The sequence below is a fragment of the Homo sapiens genome, chromosome 1 (genome assembly GCF_000001405.40).
Source record: "Homo sapiens chromosome 1, GRCh38.p14 Primary Assembly".
NCBI lineage: Eukaryota > Metazoa > Chordata > Mammalia > Primates > Hominidae > Homo > Homo sapiens.
Genome location: NC_000001.11, coordinates 164,557,924 through 164,577,548, shown reverse-complemented (window position 1 = coordinate 164,577,548; position 19,625 = coordinate 164,557,924). Strand labels below are relative to the sequence as shown.

At 39.9% G+C, this 19,625-nt stretch overlaps 1 protein-coding gene across 12 annotated transcripts in view, besides 1 other annotated feature; it reads right to left on the bottom strand.

The window, feature by feature from the left end:
- PBX1 (PBX homeobox 1) overlaps nt 1-18,365 on the bottom strand; it is a 326,864-nt gene extending 308,499 nt beyond the window's left edge. For 7 of the 12 annotated variants that reach the window (XM_011509590.3, XM_011509592.3, XM_017001395.3 and 4 more), the window contains exons 1-2: nt 17,536-18,365; nt 14,238-14,311 (exon numbers count right to left, since the gene is read on the bottom strand). In XM_011509590.3, coding sequence (XP_011507892.1) covers nt 14,238-14,311; nt 17,536-17,726 — 265 coding nt within the window. In that variant the 5' untranslated portion in view covers nt 17,727-18,365. The remainder of the gene's footprint in view (nt 1-14,237; nt 14,312-17,535) is intronic. The other 5 variants (XM_047421784.1, XM_047421783.1, XM_005245229.4 and 2 more) reach the window with 2 other exon arrangements.
- Nucleotides 18,284-18,783: an enhancer, noted in NCBI's record as "NANOG-H3K27ac hESC enhancer chr1:164528003-164528502 (GRCh37/hg19 assembly coordinates)". NCBI's record gives its function as "activates a minimal SCP1, AML or CMV promoter by ChIP-STARR-seq in primed H9 embryonic stem cells {active_cell/tissue: H9 hESC(primed)}" and the evidence as "EXISTENCE:reporter gene assay evidence [ECO:0000049][PMID:30033119]".

The window sequence follows — 19,625 nt, the reverse complement described above, 5'->3', positions numbered from 1 at the left end:
TAAAGTAATATGGCTTAGGCATGTGTATGATGACAGCCCCTTCCTGCCTGGGCTCCAGCAGGCTAGGTGGGGGAAGGGAGGCAACTATGCGTGCATGGGCAGGAGGGGGCAAACTACCAAAATCAATTCTCTATTTTCTGAAGACTGGTAAAAATAAGGCAGCTTGAAGCCCCTTTAAACATTCCTCTGAGACAAGACAAGCCGCCATATAAGAAACTAGCTATGTCTGAAGGCCCCAAACCTTCTTCAAGTGTTAAAGAAATCAGACTGAGCTTAAGGAAAACAAATGTCAGTGCTGTTTAAAGTACATCAAGGTTCTTTGGGTTAAAAATCTCCCTAGGGGAAGATGACGCACTCCCTGTAAGAGCTGAGAGACAGAAAAGACGGGAGGGTTTCTGCAGTAACTCCAGATTATATTATTTAATTCATTTCATTACCATAAAGCAACAACTCGAATATTTATCGAATACAGCTGAGACAACACACGGCCAACTAAGGAGCTGCAAATTAATACGCGTGCGTGTTAGCACATACACACACTCACCCACGTGCTCACACGCGGCCTTCTGAATTTCACTTCTGCATGCAAAACCACCACCACCGAGGTCTGCACAGCACCGGCACTTTGCATATTGAAAACGCGGCTCCAGCGGGCCCCACGGAACAGATCCTTCCCAGGAACAGACCCTAGGCCCGGCTCCCTGGGAACAGACCGCAGGCACCCCTCTGCCTCAGAGGCTCTGAATGTGACTCCAAGCCCACATTGAGAGGTGTTTAATAAAGGAAGTATGGCTCCCAAGAGGATGTCTTCCCCCTGGGGGGCGGCGGCCCTCTCTTTACCACCCTTTGGGAGAAGAGTTAAGTCAGCCGGGACAGAAGAGGTGGCGGGGGAGCCTCGGGCCGCCGCCGGGAGCAGACCGCTGCGGCTGACCACTGCAACCCGGGCCAGGCAAGGGAAATGATGAAAACACAGCAAGCCCCGCTTGGGGGACACTTGGCTTCGCGGTCCGCGCGCTGGCGGCCGGTGACGTGCGGCCTGCGCTGGGAACTCAAGGGCAGAGTCTGAGGGGGGCCGCACGCCCGAACGGGAGAGGGAGCCGGTGCAAGGCGCAGGGTGCAGAGAAGACCGGGTGCGACGCGGCGCCGCGCCGGCGGACCGGGCAGTGGCCGGGCGCTCCCAAGCGTCCTCTATGCTGCGCGCATCAGCCCTGCGGTGAAGTCAACAGATTTGCGAGGGGGTTCGCGGCCACCCCTAGCCCTCTCCTCTAATCTAATTGTGCAGCGTCTTACAGCAAGACTCAGGCGACAATCTACGACGGTCCAGCTCCCAGCATCATCATTATCCTTTCTGAAAAGGGCATCTCGTCTTAGCACAAGGCCATGTGGCTCGCCACCGGGCTTCTCCACTGTTTCTTGGTTCCAAAAGTTTTATTTTGTGATGCATCCCCTTAAACTCCTTCCAGACGACTTCAATTTCTCTTTTCTACGTGGTCTGAACGAACATGCTCTCTCATCTCTTGGGTTTTATTGTTGCTGGGTTTTGTTTTTTCTTTTTTCCCATTCTTCCTTAATTGGCCTCCGGATGAAGCTGCTTTAATTTATTCCTCACACGATGTGGTTACTTCTTGGGCCTTTATACTTGGTGCTGCGCGCAGCATCACCACCCACCCGCACCCACCCAGACATTTCCTTCCCAAGATGTTAGGTATTACAGGCACCCTAGTAAGGAGGATGCACAAAGGAAAGATGTGCTTGTGTTACCCGCTCTTTGTTTTTAAATATTTATTAATGTAAGCAGGGTGCATTGGCCCTAGAGCCTCTGCATGCAAATTCTACAGAAAGGAATTAACGTCTACACCCTCATATCCATAGAGTGCCTTTCAGAATGGATGTAGGCAGGGCTCATCATTAGACTCTCTGGGAGTCTTTCTTTGTTAGGGATAAAAGACAAATGCAAAGTTTCAATTCTATTAACAATGGTAATTATAAGGAGGATTCTCTTACAGTGACAACACTTGAGGTCTCAAATCACCTAACGCCCTCAGGAAAAACGACTGACTCTCTCTGCCCTACCAGCACAGGCTACTAGGTAAATGTATTCCTCTGACCTACTGGCAGATTCAACCTGTCTCAAAGCAAGACAAATATATAAACTTTTTCTCATACTTACTGACCACACTTTCTTAGGGAAACTCAAACATCTTTCTAAATATCCTCACTGTAAGTTTGCAAACGCCCCACTGACAGGTGGGAAACAGAAATTATTTCAGTATTTCAGCTGAGGCAAACGTTGAACAAGTAACTCCACCATTCCAAGGTGAGGGCCAGACTCCTTTCCTAAATTCCTGGGCTCTACCATATGAACTCAAGAAGGTATTCTGCACTTGCAATACTGCAATCAGAAATCTATTCCAAGACAAGTTTCCAGTCTAAAATCCAATAGCTGCAAATACATAGCATGAAAACAACATATGCATTCCATCACAAAGTCCGCAAGGTGGATTAAACTGGGATTGGCCTCCAACTGGCCTTATAAATGGGATCCTGAATGCTTCAATAATTTTTTTTTTTTTTAGTCTCACTCTGTTGCCCAGGCTGGAGTGTAAAGGCGCAATCTCGGCTCACTGCAACCTCCACCTCCCGGGTTCAAGAAATTCTCCTGCCTCAGCCTCCCAAGTAGTTGGGGTTACAGGTGCCCACCACCACACCCAGCTAATTTTTGTATTTTTAGTAGAGACGGCATTTCGCCATGTTGGCCAGGCTGGTCTCGAACTCCTGACCTCAGGTGATCCGCCCATCTCGGCCTCCCAAAGTGCTGGGATTATAGGTGTGAGCCACCACACCCAGCAATAAAAATTTTTTTAATTCCACTATTTTTTTCCCTCTCAGTTTGCCTTCTGCAATTCAACTTGATTGATGGAGGGTAACGTTAACACCACCATAACCAGTTTTACATGACCATCTAGGAAAGATATAAGGATTCATAGGAGAAATTAGAGCTGCCATAACAATGAAAAAGAATTTTCTTTTATAAATGTTCCACCTGCCTAGTGTCCTAGGAATCTAAGCTTTGGCAGGGATCATGTTGGGGCTCACAACCCATGGAATATGGAGTCAGATCAGAGGCTCTCTAGAGTCACCCATTCCATGGATGTGGAAACCTGAGACTAAGAGGTTAAATGGCGTTCTCAAAATAATATGCTACCACAGAGGTAGTCAGTGTGAGGCTGCAGAGGGTCCAGCAAACTCCTGTCATACCATGGAGTGCTCTGTACTTGTTCCATTGCATTACAGCTAAAGAAAACAAGGAACTGCTTCGGCCCACTCAGTCTATTCTAGGGAACACTTAAGATTTTGTTAAGGAGAAAGAAAGAACCTAAAATGAAGAGCTATGGAAAGAAAGAAGCAAAAAACACAGAGAAGGAGGTGGGGGAACCACCCCATCCCGGCTTCCAGCAGTGACCTCAATAGTGTAAGGTGGACGTTCTCTTCCAGAAAAAGATGTCTCAAATATGCTTTAATCTGGAACACGGCTATTCATCAGGCAACAATTTCAATTGCTACAGAACTACCAGCTCAAGTTTGAGTGGGGAACAACCATGTATCTTCCTCAGAATGTAAAAACTATGCCAAAAAAGGAACAAAACGGAGTTATGCCAGAACAACTATTCTATGGCTGTGCTGTCCCATATGGTAGATACTACTCATGTGTAGCTATTGAGCACTTGAAGTATGGCAAGGCAAAATCAAGATATGCTATAAATGCTGGGCACGGTGGCTCACGCCTGTAATCCCAACACTTTGGGAAGCCAAGGTGGGTGGATCACCTGAGGTCAGGAGTTCAAGATCAGCCTGGCCGACATGGTGAAACCCCATCTCTACTAAAAATTAGCAGGGTGTGTAGTGGCAGGCGCCTGTAATCCCAGCTACTTGGGAGGCTGAGGCAGGAGAATCCCTTGAACCCGGGAGGCAGAGGTTGCAGTGAGCCGAGATCACGCCACTGCACTCCAGCCTGGATGACAGAGAGAGACACTGTCTTTAAAAAAAAAAAAAAAAAAAAAAAAGATGTGCTGTAAATGTAAAATACACAATGGATTTCAAAGCCTCAGCATAGACACACAAAAAAAGAATGTAAAATATCTCATTAATTTTTATGTTGATTACATATTGAAATATTTTCAATGTATTTAAGTTAAATAAGATGTATTATTAAAATTCATTTCACTTGTTTCTTTTTACTTTTTTTAAATGGGGCTACTAAAAAATTTAAATCATTAAATTTAACATTACCATTTCAAGGCCTTAGCACAAAAAAAGAATGCAAAATATCTCAATAATTTTTATATTGATTACATGTTGAAAGATTTTTAGATATATTTGGGTTAAATAAGAAGTATTAAAATTTATTTCACCTGCTTCTTCTTACTTTTTAAAAATGAGGCTACTAGAAAATGTAAATCATTAAATTTAAAATTACAGGTGTTCACTGAAAAGCACTGTTCTGTGAGATTCTCTCCACAGAACTCTAGAAGTAGGGGAGGGGGGTGTGAAAGTGTGGAGATGCCTTTTGCTGCGTTTTGCCCGAGACTTTTATTTCTCTCACACTGACAACCATTTAACATAAAAGCAGGGTCAGGAAGCATGTTAGTGAACCTCTAAAACTCCCGGACAGAGGTAGTAGAAAACTCAACCTGAACCGACAAGGCCAAACTGATGAGAAAGGTGGTCAACACTCTGTCATGTGGTTTCAGAAAAATAACAGTAGTGGCCACTAGTTGAGCATACTCATTGAACTATGTGCTTTACATCAGTGTCTTTTTTAGCCCACCATCCTACATCATACATATTATTATCTTCACCACAGAAATGAGAACACTGAAGCTCTGTTAAATCCAATAGCTCACTAATGTTAACACAAGCTAGGATGGTTTCACTCAAAGTCCATGCTCCCTCTGTCACACTAGATTACTATTCAGAAAATTCTCCAATCTTTTTCAAAAGTGCCTTCCTCTCCAGGAACCTGACATCTGAAATTCCAACATTGGAGAATCATTCCTTTGTCTTACTTTTTTTCCTCTTTAAAATGCAAATAGTTCTAACAGAGATTTCACATAAATCCTGATCATGCATACTTCAAGTCAAATAAATTTATCAAAAACTTTTTTTCTTAGTGTATTGACCAAACATGACAATAAACACAGTAGAGTCCTAAACATAGAGAGGAGACATCATTGAATGGAGAAAGAGATTGAAAAGAATGAAAAGCTGAGAGTGCTGAAGACAAAACTTAGTGCCATTTACACTATGACTTAAGAATACACCAGGCTGGGCGTGGTAGCTCAGGCTGGGCGCGGTGCCTCACACCTGTAACTCCAGCACTTTGGGAGACCAAGGCCGGTGGATCACTTGAGGTCAGGAGTTCGAGACCAGCCTGGTCAACATGGTGAAATCCCATCTCTACTAACAATACAAAAATCAGCTGGGTGTGGTAGCCCATGCCTGTAATCCCAGCTACTCAGGAGGCTGAGGCAGGAGAATCGCTTGAACCTGGGAAGCAGAGATTGTGGTGAGCCAAGATCGCACTACTGCACTCCTGCCTGGGACACACCATCTTAAAAAAAAAAAAAAAAGCATATATATATATATATATATATATATATATATATATATATATACAATGTACAGATTTTTGTATATCAAATAGACCTCAATAAAGCTGTTTTTAAAAAATGTGCCTACTGCAGCCACTCTGTAAAACCGTTTGGCATTTTCTCAAAATCTAAACATAGAGTTATCACGAGCCAGCAACTCCACTCCTTATCCAGAGAAATGAAAACATATATTCATACATAAAAACCTGTAAGCAAATGTTCATAGCAGTATTATTCATAATAGTCAAAAATGGAAATAACCTAAGTGAACAGTAACTGAAGTCCATTCCTTAAGTTACTGTAGCAACTGAATAATGAATAAGCAAAATGTGGTATATCCATACAGCGGAATAGTATTTGGCCATAAAGAAAAATGAAGTACTGATAGATGCTACAGTATGGATGACCCTCGAAAACGTGCTAAACAGAAGAAATGAGTCAAAAAACATCAAATATTTTATGATTCAATTTATGTGAAATGTCCAGAATAGGCAAAAACCACAAAGACAGCAAGTAGGTTAGTGGTTACCAGGGACTAGGTGAAGGGGGAAATATGGACTGATTGGTAAAAAGTACTGGGTTTTTTTAGGGGGCAAGGAGGCTGATAAAAATGTTCTAAAATTAGATTGTGATAATGGGTTCACAACTTTGTCAATACACTAAAAGCCACCTAACTGTATATCATTTAAATGGGTGAATTTCATGGTGTTAGAAATATATTTCAAGAAAGCTATAAAAATAATGAAGAATAAATCTACTATGAATCAAGGCTGTCCTTATGACAAAGATAACATTTTTCCTAAATAAGGAATGTACTAGAAGGGCAAGAAAAGGTCAGGTTGTCTTCTATCAAACAGTGGGTGAAGGATATGAACAGACACTTCTCAAAAGAAGACATTTATGTGGCCAACAAACATATATGAAAAAAAGCTCATCATCACTGGTCATTAGAGAAATGCAAATCAAAACCACAATGAGATAGCATCTCTCACCAGTTAGAATGGCGATCCTTAAAAAGTCAGGAAACAACAGATGCTGGAGAGGATATGGAGAAATAGGAATTCTTTTACACTGTTGGTGACAGTGCAAATTATTCAACCATTGTGGAAGACAGTGTGGCAATTCCTCAAGAATCTAGAACCAGAAATACCATTTGACCCAGCAATCCCATCACTGCGTATATACACAAAGGATTATAAATCATTCTACTATAAAGACACATGCACACATATGTTTATTGCAGCACTATTCACAATAGCAAAGACTTGGAACCAACCAAAATGCCCATCAATGATAGACTGCATAAAGAAAATGTGGCACATATACACCATGGAATACTATGGAGCCATAAAAAGGATGAGTTCATGTTCTTTGCAGGGACATGGATGAAGCTGGAAACCATCACTCTCGGCAAATTAACACAGGAACAGAAAATCAAACACCGCATGTTCTCACTCATAAATGGGAGTTGGACAATGAGAGCACATGGACACAGGGAGGGGAACATCACACACTGGGGCCTGTCAGGGGGTGGGGGACAAGGGGACGGAGAGCATTAAGAGAAACACCTAATGTAGATGACGGGTTGATGGGTAGAGCAAACCACCATGGCATGTGTATACCTATGTAACAAACCTGCACGTTCCACACACGTGTTCCAGAACTTAAAGTATAATTTAAAAAAAGAAAGAAAAAGAAAAGGTCAGGTTGCCCTAAACTCACTTGTGCTACTTTTCCTGCTTTGGAACTTTGCAAGTTGAATGGATAGGCTTATGTATCTTCAGAGAGAAAATGAAATGTTTTTAACTATGATTACACAATGCCTCCAGTTGCTGACGCTAAGAAAACACCATCCTTAATATGCAATTCTAGCTTTTCAAGCGGTTGTTGTCCAGTTTGTAGTTTAAAAGTTTTTAAAGTAGCTTAAAAACTTTTCCTCTGTTCTTACCCATTCTCTTTTCCCCCTCTTCTTCCAATCTGTCCCAGACTTTTGGCCAGATATAGCTAATTCTCACTTTAAGAGAATAGCAAGGGAAACAGGGCCAGGCATGGTGGCTTACGGCTGTAAACCAGCACTGGGAGGCCGAGGCAGGCGGATCACTTGAGATCAGGAGTTTGAGACCAGCCTGGCCAACAGGGCGAAACCTCGTCTCTAGTAAAACACAAAATTTAGCTGGTGAATGCCTGGAATCCCAGCTACTCAGGAGGCTGAGGCAGGAGAATCGCTTGAACCCAGGGATAGAGGTTTCAGTGGGCCGAGATCACGCCACTGCACTCCAACCTGGGAGATAGAGTGAGACTCTTGACAAAAAAAAAAAAAAAAAAAAAAAAAATGCAAGGAAAAAAAGAAAGCAAATCTTAAATTCAGCAATTTTTGTCTCTTTTCAGCATAAAATCAGAGTCTTGGAATTGGCTTTGTCTTTAGGGACCATCTGGTATAAGCCTCTCTATTTCATATAAGAAAACAAGTCCAGAAATAATAACAGCTAGCAGCTATTGACTGTTTACTCTATGCCAGGCACTGTAATTTACATCTATCACCTTATTTAACCTCACAGCGACCCTCTAAGATAAGTACCATTATGATCTGCATTTTATAAATAAGGAAAATGAGGCACAGAGAGGTTTTTTAACTTGAATAAGGCCAGACAGTTAAGAAGTAAAAGATCTAGGATACAAACTCAGAGAGTCTGGCTTTAAAGACCAGGTCCTTAACCACTACTATTATAGTTTATCATAAAATTATTTAAGCAACTTTTCTATGGTCTTATAACTACTTAGTAGAAGGTCCAGAACTAGCACAGAGTGTGAGGTATACCCACCCCAATACCTACTTAATGACAAAAGTTTCAGTAGAAGATGCAGTTGAAACTACAACCTAAACCAAAAAGGATGAATTTTCCACCCATTGCAATCTCAATTTCCACCAATAATTGAGAGATTGAAAGAGAGCTGTTAGAGGTAAGAAGACCTTCGGGTAAGACACTATTGACCTTATTCTGCCATCATGGGGGATAGGTGTTATAATCTTATGACAATCTATTCCTGCACCTTTTTTCCCCTCTGGGGATCACTCTGCTAAGTTCCGAGAAGTGCCATCTTTGAGATGCAGATGGGGCAAAGATACAACCAGAGAACTTTCCTCATGAGCGACGATCGATTACCCCATTACTTAAAGACCAGTAGACGTACATTTTTTTTAGCCTGAAAGAGTGAAATGCAGTGATATCCTGTGAAATAAGATATGAATCCTGAGATAATTTATTATAGAAAATACAGTGCCTTAATTATTTACATAACCCACAGGAACTCAAAGCACTTCACAAACAACTCATGAATTCTCTACTTATTTATCAATTATTGCATTCCTTAAATCTTACCACACCATTGCAGGTAAAGGGCAATGGAACCAAAATTATTATATTCCTCCAAATCAGGTTAATATGGCAATGAAAATGAATGGGTGCTTCTTAGGGTCATAAGAGAATGAATAAGAGCTGTTTGGAGCTGGACCTAGGACACTGTCTCTATCATGTGGTGCTTTGGTAAACTTTTTTTTTAAAGGAAAAGCAATAAAAAGAATATTTAGATTCGCTTCACCAAGTTCAAACATAGTATCATCCATCTAAAAGAGATTTGAAACCAAATTGAAGAATAAGCTTTCCTAAGATATGCCTATGACACAAAAGAAGTCAGGGTCATGCTTTACAAATGAAAATGTCTTCCAATTTAAATTATGTGCAACATCTAGGTTTTGGTTTATTTGCTCGTTTGGGGGTATTTTTATAATTTTGCCAACAACCACAACAAAAAGTTCATGGATGTCAACAGAATGCAGGGGCAAAACCATGTGAATAGGTCTGGCACCAGCAGTGAACTAAACACACAGGCAGGTAATGCCCCCTTCTCAGCCAACAGTGCAGCCTACTGTACAGAACCCACCCACACCCGGCCCAGCTCAATGCCCCACAGCTCTTAGTTCACAAGGTTCTATGTTTCCCCGCTTATAAATCCCCTTCCAGATCCTTCAGTATAACCTAAATCGCTCTCATGTCCAATCCTCACAGACACTCCTATTGTTAGAAAAAAATGACACCAAAATTTCCCAAATTCTCATTCTGGCAGCTTTGACCAAATTGCTCTTTGCACTTCTCAAAAGCCAGAATTGTTCTAATTCTAGTAGTAGACTAAAAATGGAATACACAAAAGTGACTAAAAAGAAAAGTCATTTCTCATTACAAGTTCTTCTTATATTATGTCTGTCAGAGTTATATTGTTGTAGGTCTACGGCTTATATCCACATTATAATAAATAAATAATATAGGGTCTAACCACATTACTTCTGCCTTAACACACTGTACCTGAAAGATAGCATCAGGTAAAACTGATTTGTAAGTTCCTTTCATTTGATCCCCTTTTCTTTCCTCTGCATCTTTACCAGGAGGGAGAAAAAAAAAAAATGAACCAAATTCTTGAATTTTCTCATCAGCAAGAAAAGTTTTTGCATTTGCTGGCTATCGATGACCTTCTACAAAAATGACTCCTACCACTTCAACCCCAAAAGGAATCTGATCAGAGGCTGCTTCTAAATGGTTTAAAGTTATTTTACTCCTATTTTGCTCAAGGCCTAATACCATCAGAATTCTCTTCCCGCAATCTCTAGCTTCCTTCCATAACCCACCGCCCCTCCACCTACATATGCAAACATACACACACACATATACATAGACACACAAATTATTCTCTAATGCTTTAAAGGGGAGAGGAGAGGAGAAGTCCCATAATGTAATTGCTATATTAAAAAGAAGTGGCAGGCGAGAATAATAAGGGAGGGTGTCAAAAGTGAAATAAAGTAGTAGAATTAAAAAAACACACACACACTACAGTTCTGTGATGGGGGTGTTAATTGAACACAGAGAGAAAAGGAAAGAGAGAGAACAAAAGGGTGTTAAGGAGCAAAAAATAAATTTTTTTAACCTCCTCCAAAGATTTGATTTGCGTTAACTTTGATGCAGACAATGCACAGAGGAAAATTGGCTGAAAAGTGCCATATATAGCTATTATGTTCTAAAATTAAAAACTATTCACAACAATTGCAGCTATTCATTGCTATCTATAAATATTCTCCTTAGTAAATGGCATTCAATATTTTTCGTGTTTTCCTAATTTTTAAACTTGCGTGATTTTGACACAGGAATAAAAAACATCAGGAAATGTTTAAAAATATATTCAAGGTTTTTTTAAAGAAATGTAATATGCTTGACTTTTTCTCCTTTTCTTCTATCCCACCAACCCCATTACCACCATATATACACATATGCAAAACTTAGCCTATTACTAATATGCCAGAAGACAAGGAATGGATCTTAAAAATCCAAAAGAAAGTGTTATATTAAATGATCCAAAACTCTAATTGTCTCTGTATTCCTAGAATGAGCGAGCAGATAAAAGCCACATGTGAAATATACATTGCTATAGGTCTTGACAGGGTTTTTTAGCTGCTCTTTGAGAATTGCCACCCGAGCATTTTGCTGGCACTTCTTCTTAGCATTTATTTTTTTAAAAGCGAAAATGTATCAGAATAAAAACTACCCACATTCTGAAGCAAGAAGATGCATGGGTTCTTTTGTTTTGTTTTGTTTTTTAAATATCCCCACAGTAATTTCTGACTTAAACACCCATCAATCAATTGTAATTCAGATGGCACCTTCTACTTTGGGGTGTTACGTGCATGTGTGTATGTATTTTTAAAGTTCCAAAAGGTTGGTAATACATCTTAGCCAGTTTTTGTATCTATTTCTAAGTCTTCCAACTATAAAATCATTAACAAATGCAAAAAAGCAAAAATAACAAATCAATGCAATTACCAAGTTCCTCTCAAGAGTTCTGCCTAGGTGAGCCAAATGTATGAACTTCGTGTTAGAATACAAACAAACAAAGCCCACCCTAAATCAAGTAACCTCTATTATTATTATAAGCATTATAATGCTTGAGATGGAAACTCAAAAATACTCATTTAATGCAAAAAGGCTTGAAAGTAACAATAGAAAAAGTCCCCAAACAATAAAGGAATGTATGTGAACTGATCACTCAAGCGATGTTTTCACCAGCTCTGTATCAAGAAGAAGAGGGGGAAAAAAAAAAAAAAGCTCCTGCAACTTTACAGACACTTTGTTCCTCCGACCCATCAACTGCATGAAAGATATGCTGGCAAAAAGATTGAAGGTTCCAGGGTCTTGAGTAGCCAAGTAATCGTGCTTTAGAATCAAAGGGTTCTTTTCAGCAGACCACAGTTGACTCCTACCTTTAACACAACACTCAACATTCCAGGAGAGGTTTTTGCCTTCCCTTCAATCCTTCCAACACACAAGTTGAAGACTAAGAGGGAGGTAAGCCTTTTTTTTCCCCTACTTTCACCCAGGGGTGCCCTCTTAATCCAAGACTTGTGTGTGTGTGTGTGTGTGTGTGTGTGTGTCCCTTAACACAGGGGGCAATGACTCTTATCACTTTCAATTACATTATTTGTAAATTGTTTTTTTAAATATGTTATTCTAGAGACAACACAAAAAACCTTAATTTAGATTTTTTTAAGTCTCTAAACATTAAATGTATTGACACAAAATTTAAAATACAAAACTTTTAGAATGTTACTTTGACCAATACGACTGACTACTTTACTTCCTATCATTATACTTGAGCCAACATGAACAAGGAGCGAACTCTTTAACCCTCACCTGAACCGGATCTCTATTCACACCCACCCACTTTAATCTACTGCCTCAGTAGGTTTTAATTAGGAAACTAGAATTAAGCACTTTGGCCACAATGTACATTTAAGTGCCCTGACAGGCTTCCTTTCAATAAAAATCTGATAAAGTATCTTCAAAAATAGACTCTCTTTAGTCCATATTATCACATATGCTTTTATATTTTGATTCTACATTTCATGAAACAAGATCAGCAGGAACTCATACTTGGTTAGAAACAAATCTCAACAAACCAAACACTCAAAGTAAATAAGCATCAGAGATCAAAGAAGAAAAAAGAGAGAAGATAAAAAAATATATATAAATATATATATACACACACACTTAAGTTTCCTACTCTGGGCTAATAGAAAAAAGAAACTAAAAAGTGTGACAAACTGGAAAAAACTCTTTTGATATTTGAATGCACAGTCCATAAATCTTTTAAAAGTTGTCTCACAGCTAAAATAATGCAATTAACAGGTTTGCAATAAGGTTAAGCTTTGGCAAGGCAACCTGGAAGACTTAGAGGTCTGAACATCACTTCTCAGGTGCTTTGTCTAGAATGTTATGCACAACACAAATAACATTCAACAAAGGAGCTGCGTACTAATTTTACACGCATTTCAAGACCCAAGTAATTACATATTCATTCAACAGTCACATCTTGAAACTATTTTTTTAAAAGAAAAACACAGAGAGCTCTCAAAAAGAAAGCCACCCTGTGTGCCCTCTCCCCCCGCCCATTTTTTATGTGTAACTATCAATGTATATCAACCAAGCATGCAATCATATTTATTGTCACTTTCATTCATGTCATGCCCTTGCTTATATGGTTTAGATATGAATTATTGACTGTTACACTCCTTGTTGTAAAAAATAAATAAATAAATAGGATGTCAGGTACTTTGCACTGCTCTAAAGCGAGCGGGTAAGTCAGAGCCCAGCAGAAGCTCCCGCTTTATATAACCACCCCTTGTCCCTCATCTTTATTCCCTGGTTTCAGATTGCCTTCTCAAATCTTTCTTCTTACAAGGGAGAGCTTTACCCACTTTGGAAAATTAAGGATTAAAATAAACAAGGGGATGTCGCTAAATGTCCTTCCCAGAGCATCTGTTGTTTAAGAACACCTCTGATTGATGACTGCTATTTTTTAATTGTTGCTTTAAAATTTAAATGCCCTCCTGGGATGTGTTATAAGTGTGTTAGTCCACGAAACGAGGTCTAGAAAGTAGAAAAACAACAGAGTGAATTATCTCATGGCGTTATACTCTCCTAAACCCAACGATTCTCCCTGCAATAAAATCACAGGCCACTCAAATACCGATAACCTAATGTTGTATAGCGCATTCCACAAAGGTATTTGACAACACTCTCTGTTGAGAACCTCTAGTCTGCTGCTTTGTGTAATTACAAGAAAAAAAGGAAAGGAAACTTTCAACAGTTTAGCACCCCCACACCCAACTCCAAAAAAATTAGGGTTTTAAAAATGGGCCAAAATATATTCCTTAAAAAAATGAACTTTTACTTTCATATTTTTGCCCCAAAGATACATCAGTCTATAAATTTCCTTTCAGAATCTATATTTTAGCCCCAATCTCAAAAAGGCTGGAAATAGAGTTCTGGAAAATTAACCAGTAGTGCTTGATAATAACTGTCAAAGAAACTTGATTCTTTTTTTTAAGGAAAGCAGGGCTAGGACTTCCTATTCGAATATGAGGTCAACCTTCATAGTACTTGTATTCTGAAATTTTAATATTTAAATAATAGATTTGTGACTGCTGGTTAAGTGATTTAATTGGCCAAAGAAAATGCTAAAATGTTGGAATCTCATTCCTACCTGTTTTTTCTTTGATTTCACACAACACATTAAACAAGGCAGGCTTCATTCTGTGGCAGTTTAAAGCATGTTTTCTGCAAGAAAGAAACAACATGATAGCTTAGGTGGACTCTCAAGATCAAACTGCCGATAATGCACAGGGTGAAAACATTTGAACATTTAGACAAAATTATATACCCAACCCTAACTCTGTGGCATGCTTCAGTTGTTTTCATGACTTAATATACAGAGTCCCGCCATAGAAAAAGAAATAATGTTAATTAGCAGGGAGAGGGTAGGGATTTAACTACAGAACAGAACTAACCTAAATTATGCCCATTTAGGGAAAGGGTTTTTTTTTTTTTTTAAGTAGTTTAATCAAAGAGTAATTCTTAAACCCACAATTCTTCCCAGGACAATGAACACAGCAAAGCCAAAGGTGTAGGTTAACAGTTTTGTAAAATCCATGCAACGACCACAGCCTAGGAACTGTCTGCCTCTCGGTCTGTGTGTTTTCAAATTTAATTCATCCATGTGTTCGAATTCATTCCGCAGATGCCCCTGTATTCTCATAAACACAAGATGCTTGAAAGGTCTTCTGAGTAGAACTGTCAATTTATAACATTTCAGTCCCCAAGTTAAAGAGTATGGAAATGCATTGCCAGGGGGCAAACATACCCATATGGGGAATAAATTCATTTCTCTGTGTTCACATTATGCTTCTGTGCACACACTGCTTATTTGCAGGTGTTGAAATTCAATTATTTACAATTAGGACCTTGCACCCATTGGGGGAAAAATAAATGCAATTTTGTCTTTTAGATTAGTGATTTACCTGGTGTGTGTGTGTGTGTGTGTGTGTGTGTGTGTGTGTGTGTGTATTCTGAATGCACTTGAGGAACAAAACAATACCTTTCCTTCTATTTTATTATGGAACCACTTAGCAGAATGATACTGTTTTGGAAACAAAATACTGATCATATCAGCTATTAGTTAAGTGAATTCTGTCTACTAACTAAAATTAATGTGTAAAGATAAATGGAAAGTTCTGGCACTCAAAACACATGCAATTCTTTTTTAATCCCTTTGAAAGTTAAAAAATAGACACATCCTCATGAAGAACAGAGATCAGAAACATGCCCTATGTACTGTACAGCAGGGGAGTAATAAAGTCAAAATTCAGGACTATCAAAATGAACACATACATTATATCTAAAATATTAATGGTTTACTTTTGTAAATAATAAATACACATTATAAAGGTGTGACTAGAAAAAGGAAAAAAGGACATACTATCTACTAAGTGGAGTTACATTGTTTATCCAAAAAGAAAGCTTAGCGTTGATTTTAGTAAGTTCTCATGTGGGGTAGAAAAAAAAAAAGATGGAAAATACTTTAAAGTATTAAAGACCTTTCCTGGGTCTTTTAAAATAGTTTTAATTAATTCTATTATTATATATAGGCCCAAATGCAAACAAAAATTCTCACACAGCTTTATAAAAATATTGTATTTCCACAGCACACAAATGGAGCCAGCTACAGAGGAAGAACTGAAAATTTCCCCATCCCAAAATTGTATCTGATCTCTCTCTGCATCTAGGCCATTGAAAGGGGGAAGTCGCCAAGCCCTGTTTGTCCACAGTTTCACAAAAGAAGAGAGACTGAACATCAAAAAAGTAGTATCTATTCTTACTAGCCCCTTCCACTTCACAAACTTATTTTTAAGCCAGTTTATTGGTATGTCTGAGAGTATTCTTCTAGAACAATATAATAGAGAAAAATGTTCCAATTCAAAAGAGAATTGCCAGTGGGAAATCTTCCTCTTACCATACCTATTAGCTTTTCTTCAGATAATAAAATTCAAAGAGAGCACCAATTAATTTTTAAAATTTCCCCTATTTAAACAAAACTTAGGATACTTTGAGTCTTTCAACATTTCCAAGTTTTCAAACACCCGTAAACCTTAGTACTTTTGAGTTTACATGTTGCATGTGCTTGCAGCTAAAATTGAGTATAATTCATAACATCTATGTTTTTAACTGCTTCCTCTCATTTTCTCAACTCAGATTCTTATTTCACGTAGACAGAAATACACATAATGATGTCTTCTCCATATAACCAAGTCATCTGAAGTATAGGAGTTGCGTATATTTGTTTACAGGGTTTTCAAAGAGAAAAACGCTACTTCGGAGATATAACAAAGCTGGGTAATTGTACAGACATATGTGGTCATTAGATTTTTAAAATTCTTCCTTTTGAGTTCGGCCTTGGGCAAGCTGTTAGCGGGTTGTCACTTAGTCTATGTTTTACTTTAAAAGAGAATTTACTGTAAAATCCTGAAGTAGAGAACCATATACCTGGCAGTGGATTAACTTGAGAGGCTACACAGTTTATTATGTTTCCTTAATGAAGACCTTCATGTCCTATAGTACTGAAATATATAAAATTCATAAATGCTTTCATTTCTAAGTGGTCCTGAAAGAAGCATGGGGGAAAAGAGCATGCTTGATTTTTGTCCCCCCACCCCTTTTTAAAGGACCCTACATAGCTGTCTGTGTCACGGAAGGTTAGTAAACCGGCTGAAATTAGGAGACAATAAAGTTAAACTAAAAATCTGAGTCTCTTAAAACTAACAAATATGCCTAAAAACAAAATCACCTTTTCATCAACTTTTTAAAAAAACAAAATTAAGTGAATGCAAAATATTTTCTGGATAGCTGACAAGTACTGACAAAGAAATACCCTGCTTTTTTGTTGTTTTGTATTTTGGGTAGGGGGGGAAGAAAGGAGAAAAGATAAAAATTAATTTTGGACGGGAGAGTCAAGAAAGAAAATCAAACTCGCTGAATTAGGTAAGGAGTCAACTAAATTTGCAAATAAAGTGTTCTTGGGACATTTTATTTCGTAATGTTACAGAGTCCCCTCAACAAGAAGGCATGGAATGCTGTTCAAAACTTGACAATTCTGCTTTCTCTGATACTTTTTTAAAGCAGTAAAAAGTGCCGAGGGCCGCTTTTGGATCAGTTGGCAGTATTTTCGGCATGCCTGTGTGTTTGTGTGGATATAAATGAATACCCCTATATTCACACACACACACACAAATATGTACACAGCCACATCTCGGCATGGGCGATTACACTTTCGATAACAACGCTCCTTCAAATTTTACTCCTCCGCCATGTAGTTGCTTGTCAAAATGAGAAAAGAAATAACATTTTTCAAAAAAAGCGCTGTGGTGATTCGGTTCCCATTGTTTCCCCCTGCAAGAGGAAGAAAAACAAAAAACCCCAAGAAAGGAAAAGAAAAGCCTCCATCTCACCTGGCCTGCGCCTCATCCAAACTCTGGTCTGTGATGGTCATAATTTGCTGTAAAATGTCTCCAATGTCCTGCTTCCTCCCGCCCTCCCCCTCGGTCCCTCCGGCCCCATCCTGCAAGTGCTGGGACAGGCCGGGGTGTCCGGCCATCCCGACCCCAGCATGGGAATGCATCAGCCTGGGCTGCTCGTCCATCTCCAAAGGCTACGGCAGCCCCCGGCTCTTCCTCTTCTGCTCCTCGGCTCGGCTCCTGGGAAGCACCAAGGCTTTTTATCCTTCAAGCTTGTCTTCAAATCCTTTTCAGGATAAACAGGGAAGGGGGAAAAAAGAAGACCAAAAGAAAAAAAAAATCCCTTTGCCTCTTTAGAGGATGGTGGGAGGATGAGGAGGGGGAGGGGGAGGGGGCGTGAAGGGGTTGCGGGGTGAGGGTGGGGATAAGGGCTGGTGGGGAAGGGTGTTGACTCCAAAAAGCAAGAAAAATAAACCACCTTCCCACTTGGCGAAAAGAAATCAGAGCTGGCTTTAGGTTTTTCAGTCCGGTCTCCTTTGCAAGGCAGAAATGGGCTCCCGGCGCTTAAATCTGTGGCTTAATCCTTTTGCAAATATGCATTGATCGGGAGAAAGGAGAGGAAGGCAGGGGGATTGCAATGCAAACTTTCCCCCCCCACCCCCCGCTGCCCCCCACCCCCACTCCGGGCCAGAGTGATCTCAAAGGGGGTGGGCTGTTGCAAAAGCCAGATCTCCCCCAGCCGCGGCGGCAGGCAAAGCACAGGCTCTCTCCTCCTCCGTGTCTCTGCAAACTCCAGCAGCCCCGTCAGCCTCCTGCTTTTGTTTAGCTCAGGCTCAGGACTCCAGAAACATATACAGAAAAACCACAGCCTGAGAGGAGGAGGAGGAGGAGGAGAAGAAGGAGGAGGAGGACGAGAAGGAGGAGAGGGGAGGGGGCAAAGGGAAGGGGAGGGGGCGGGGAAGCCGGGAGGCTGGGGAGAGGAGGAGGGAGGAGGGCGCCTGGAGCTCCTCCCCGCTTCCCTGATTGGCCACCAGATAAAGGACCGGCCCCCTCCTCCCCTACTTTCCTCACGGCGCCTCCTCTCCAGCCTCCTTCAGCTCCTCCTCGCCCGGCGCCCTGTCAATCAGAGTTCAGAGGTGGGCCGGGAAGGAGGCCGAGCTAATAGCAAGTCTCCAGTCCTTAAAGGTGCAATGGTACTGTAGTTCCAGCTCACTTAGTTTCCACTTTCCCTGCTCGCCTTACTTAGGTTGCGTCCTTGAGGAAAATGTGGCTCCACTTAAATGCAAACATATAAAATTAACACGAAAGAACACAGACGGTGTGCGTCTTCCCGCCCACCCCTGCTTTTCTTTTGCTGTGGCATTGTCATTTAAAACTTGATTCTTTTAAATGCTTAGACCTCAGGGAAACTGCTGAGAGCACAAGTTTGTCAGCACGACGTAGTTATGAAACACAATCGAGCTGTTAATATAATTAATAAAGATCTCTAATAAGTGGCAGATGTAATAATAGATACATTTAAAAAAACAATTCTAGCACAGTAAAGGTGAAAAGAATACCAAACTGTGTCATTTTTGCTGCATGAAAACTAAATTATGGACTATGAAACTGAAAAATGCTCAAGAAAAAGAAAGATTAATAAATAAGTTCACCAAATGAAACTAATTCAACATTTCTCTCTCTTCCCCCGGGGGAAATTAGTTATTTGGCTTAAATACCTAATAAAGAAATGCATTATCACAGTCTAGTTCTAGTTTTTAATATAGTCTAATAAGCATTATTAACTGGGAAGAGAAGTGAACTGACATTTATTGAATGCCTACTATGCACCAAGTAATTTGCATGAGTTATTTTATTTAATCCCCAAGACATCTTTGTGAGTTATGGATTATTATTTCCATTTTACAGAGAGGGAACTCAGAAAGGTTAAATAATTTGTCCAAGGTCCACAGTTATTAAGTGTCAAAGCTGGAATTTAAACCCAAGTGTGACTCCCTCCAAAGGCCTAGTATTTCCACTGCACAATCTGCTTCAGTCTAACAGAAATGTGTGAATAGTGTTAAAAATTAGTTATGTGTCTATTG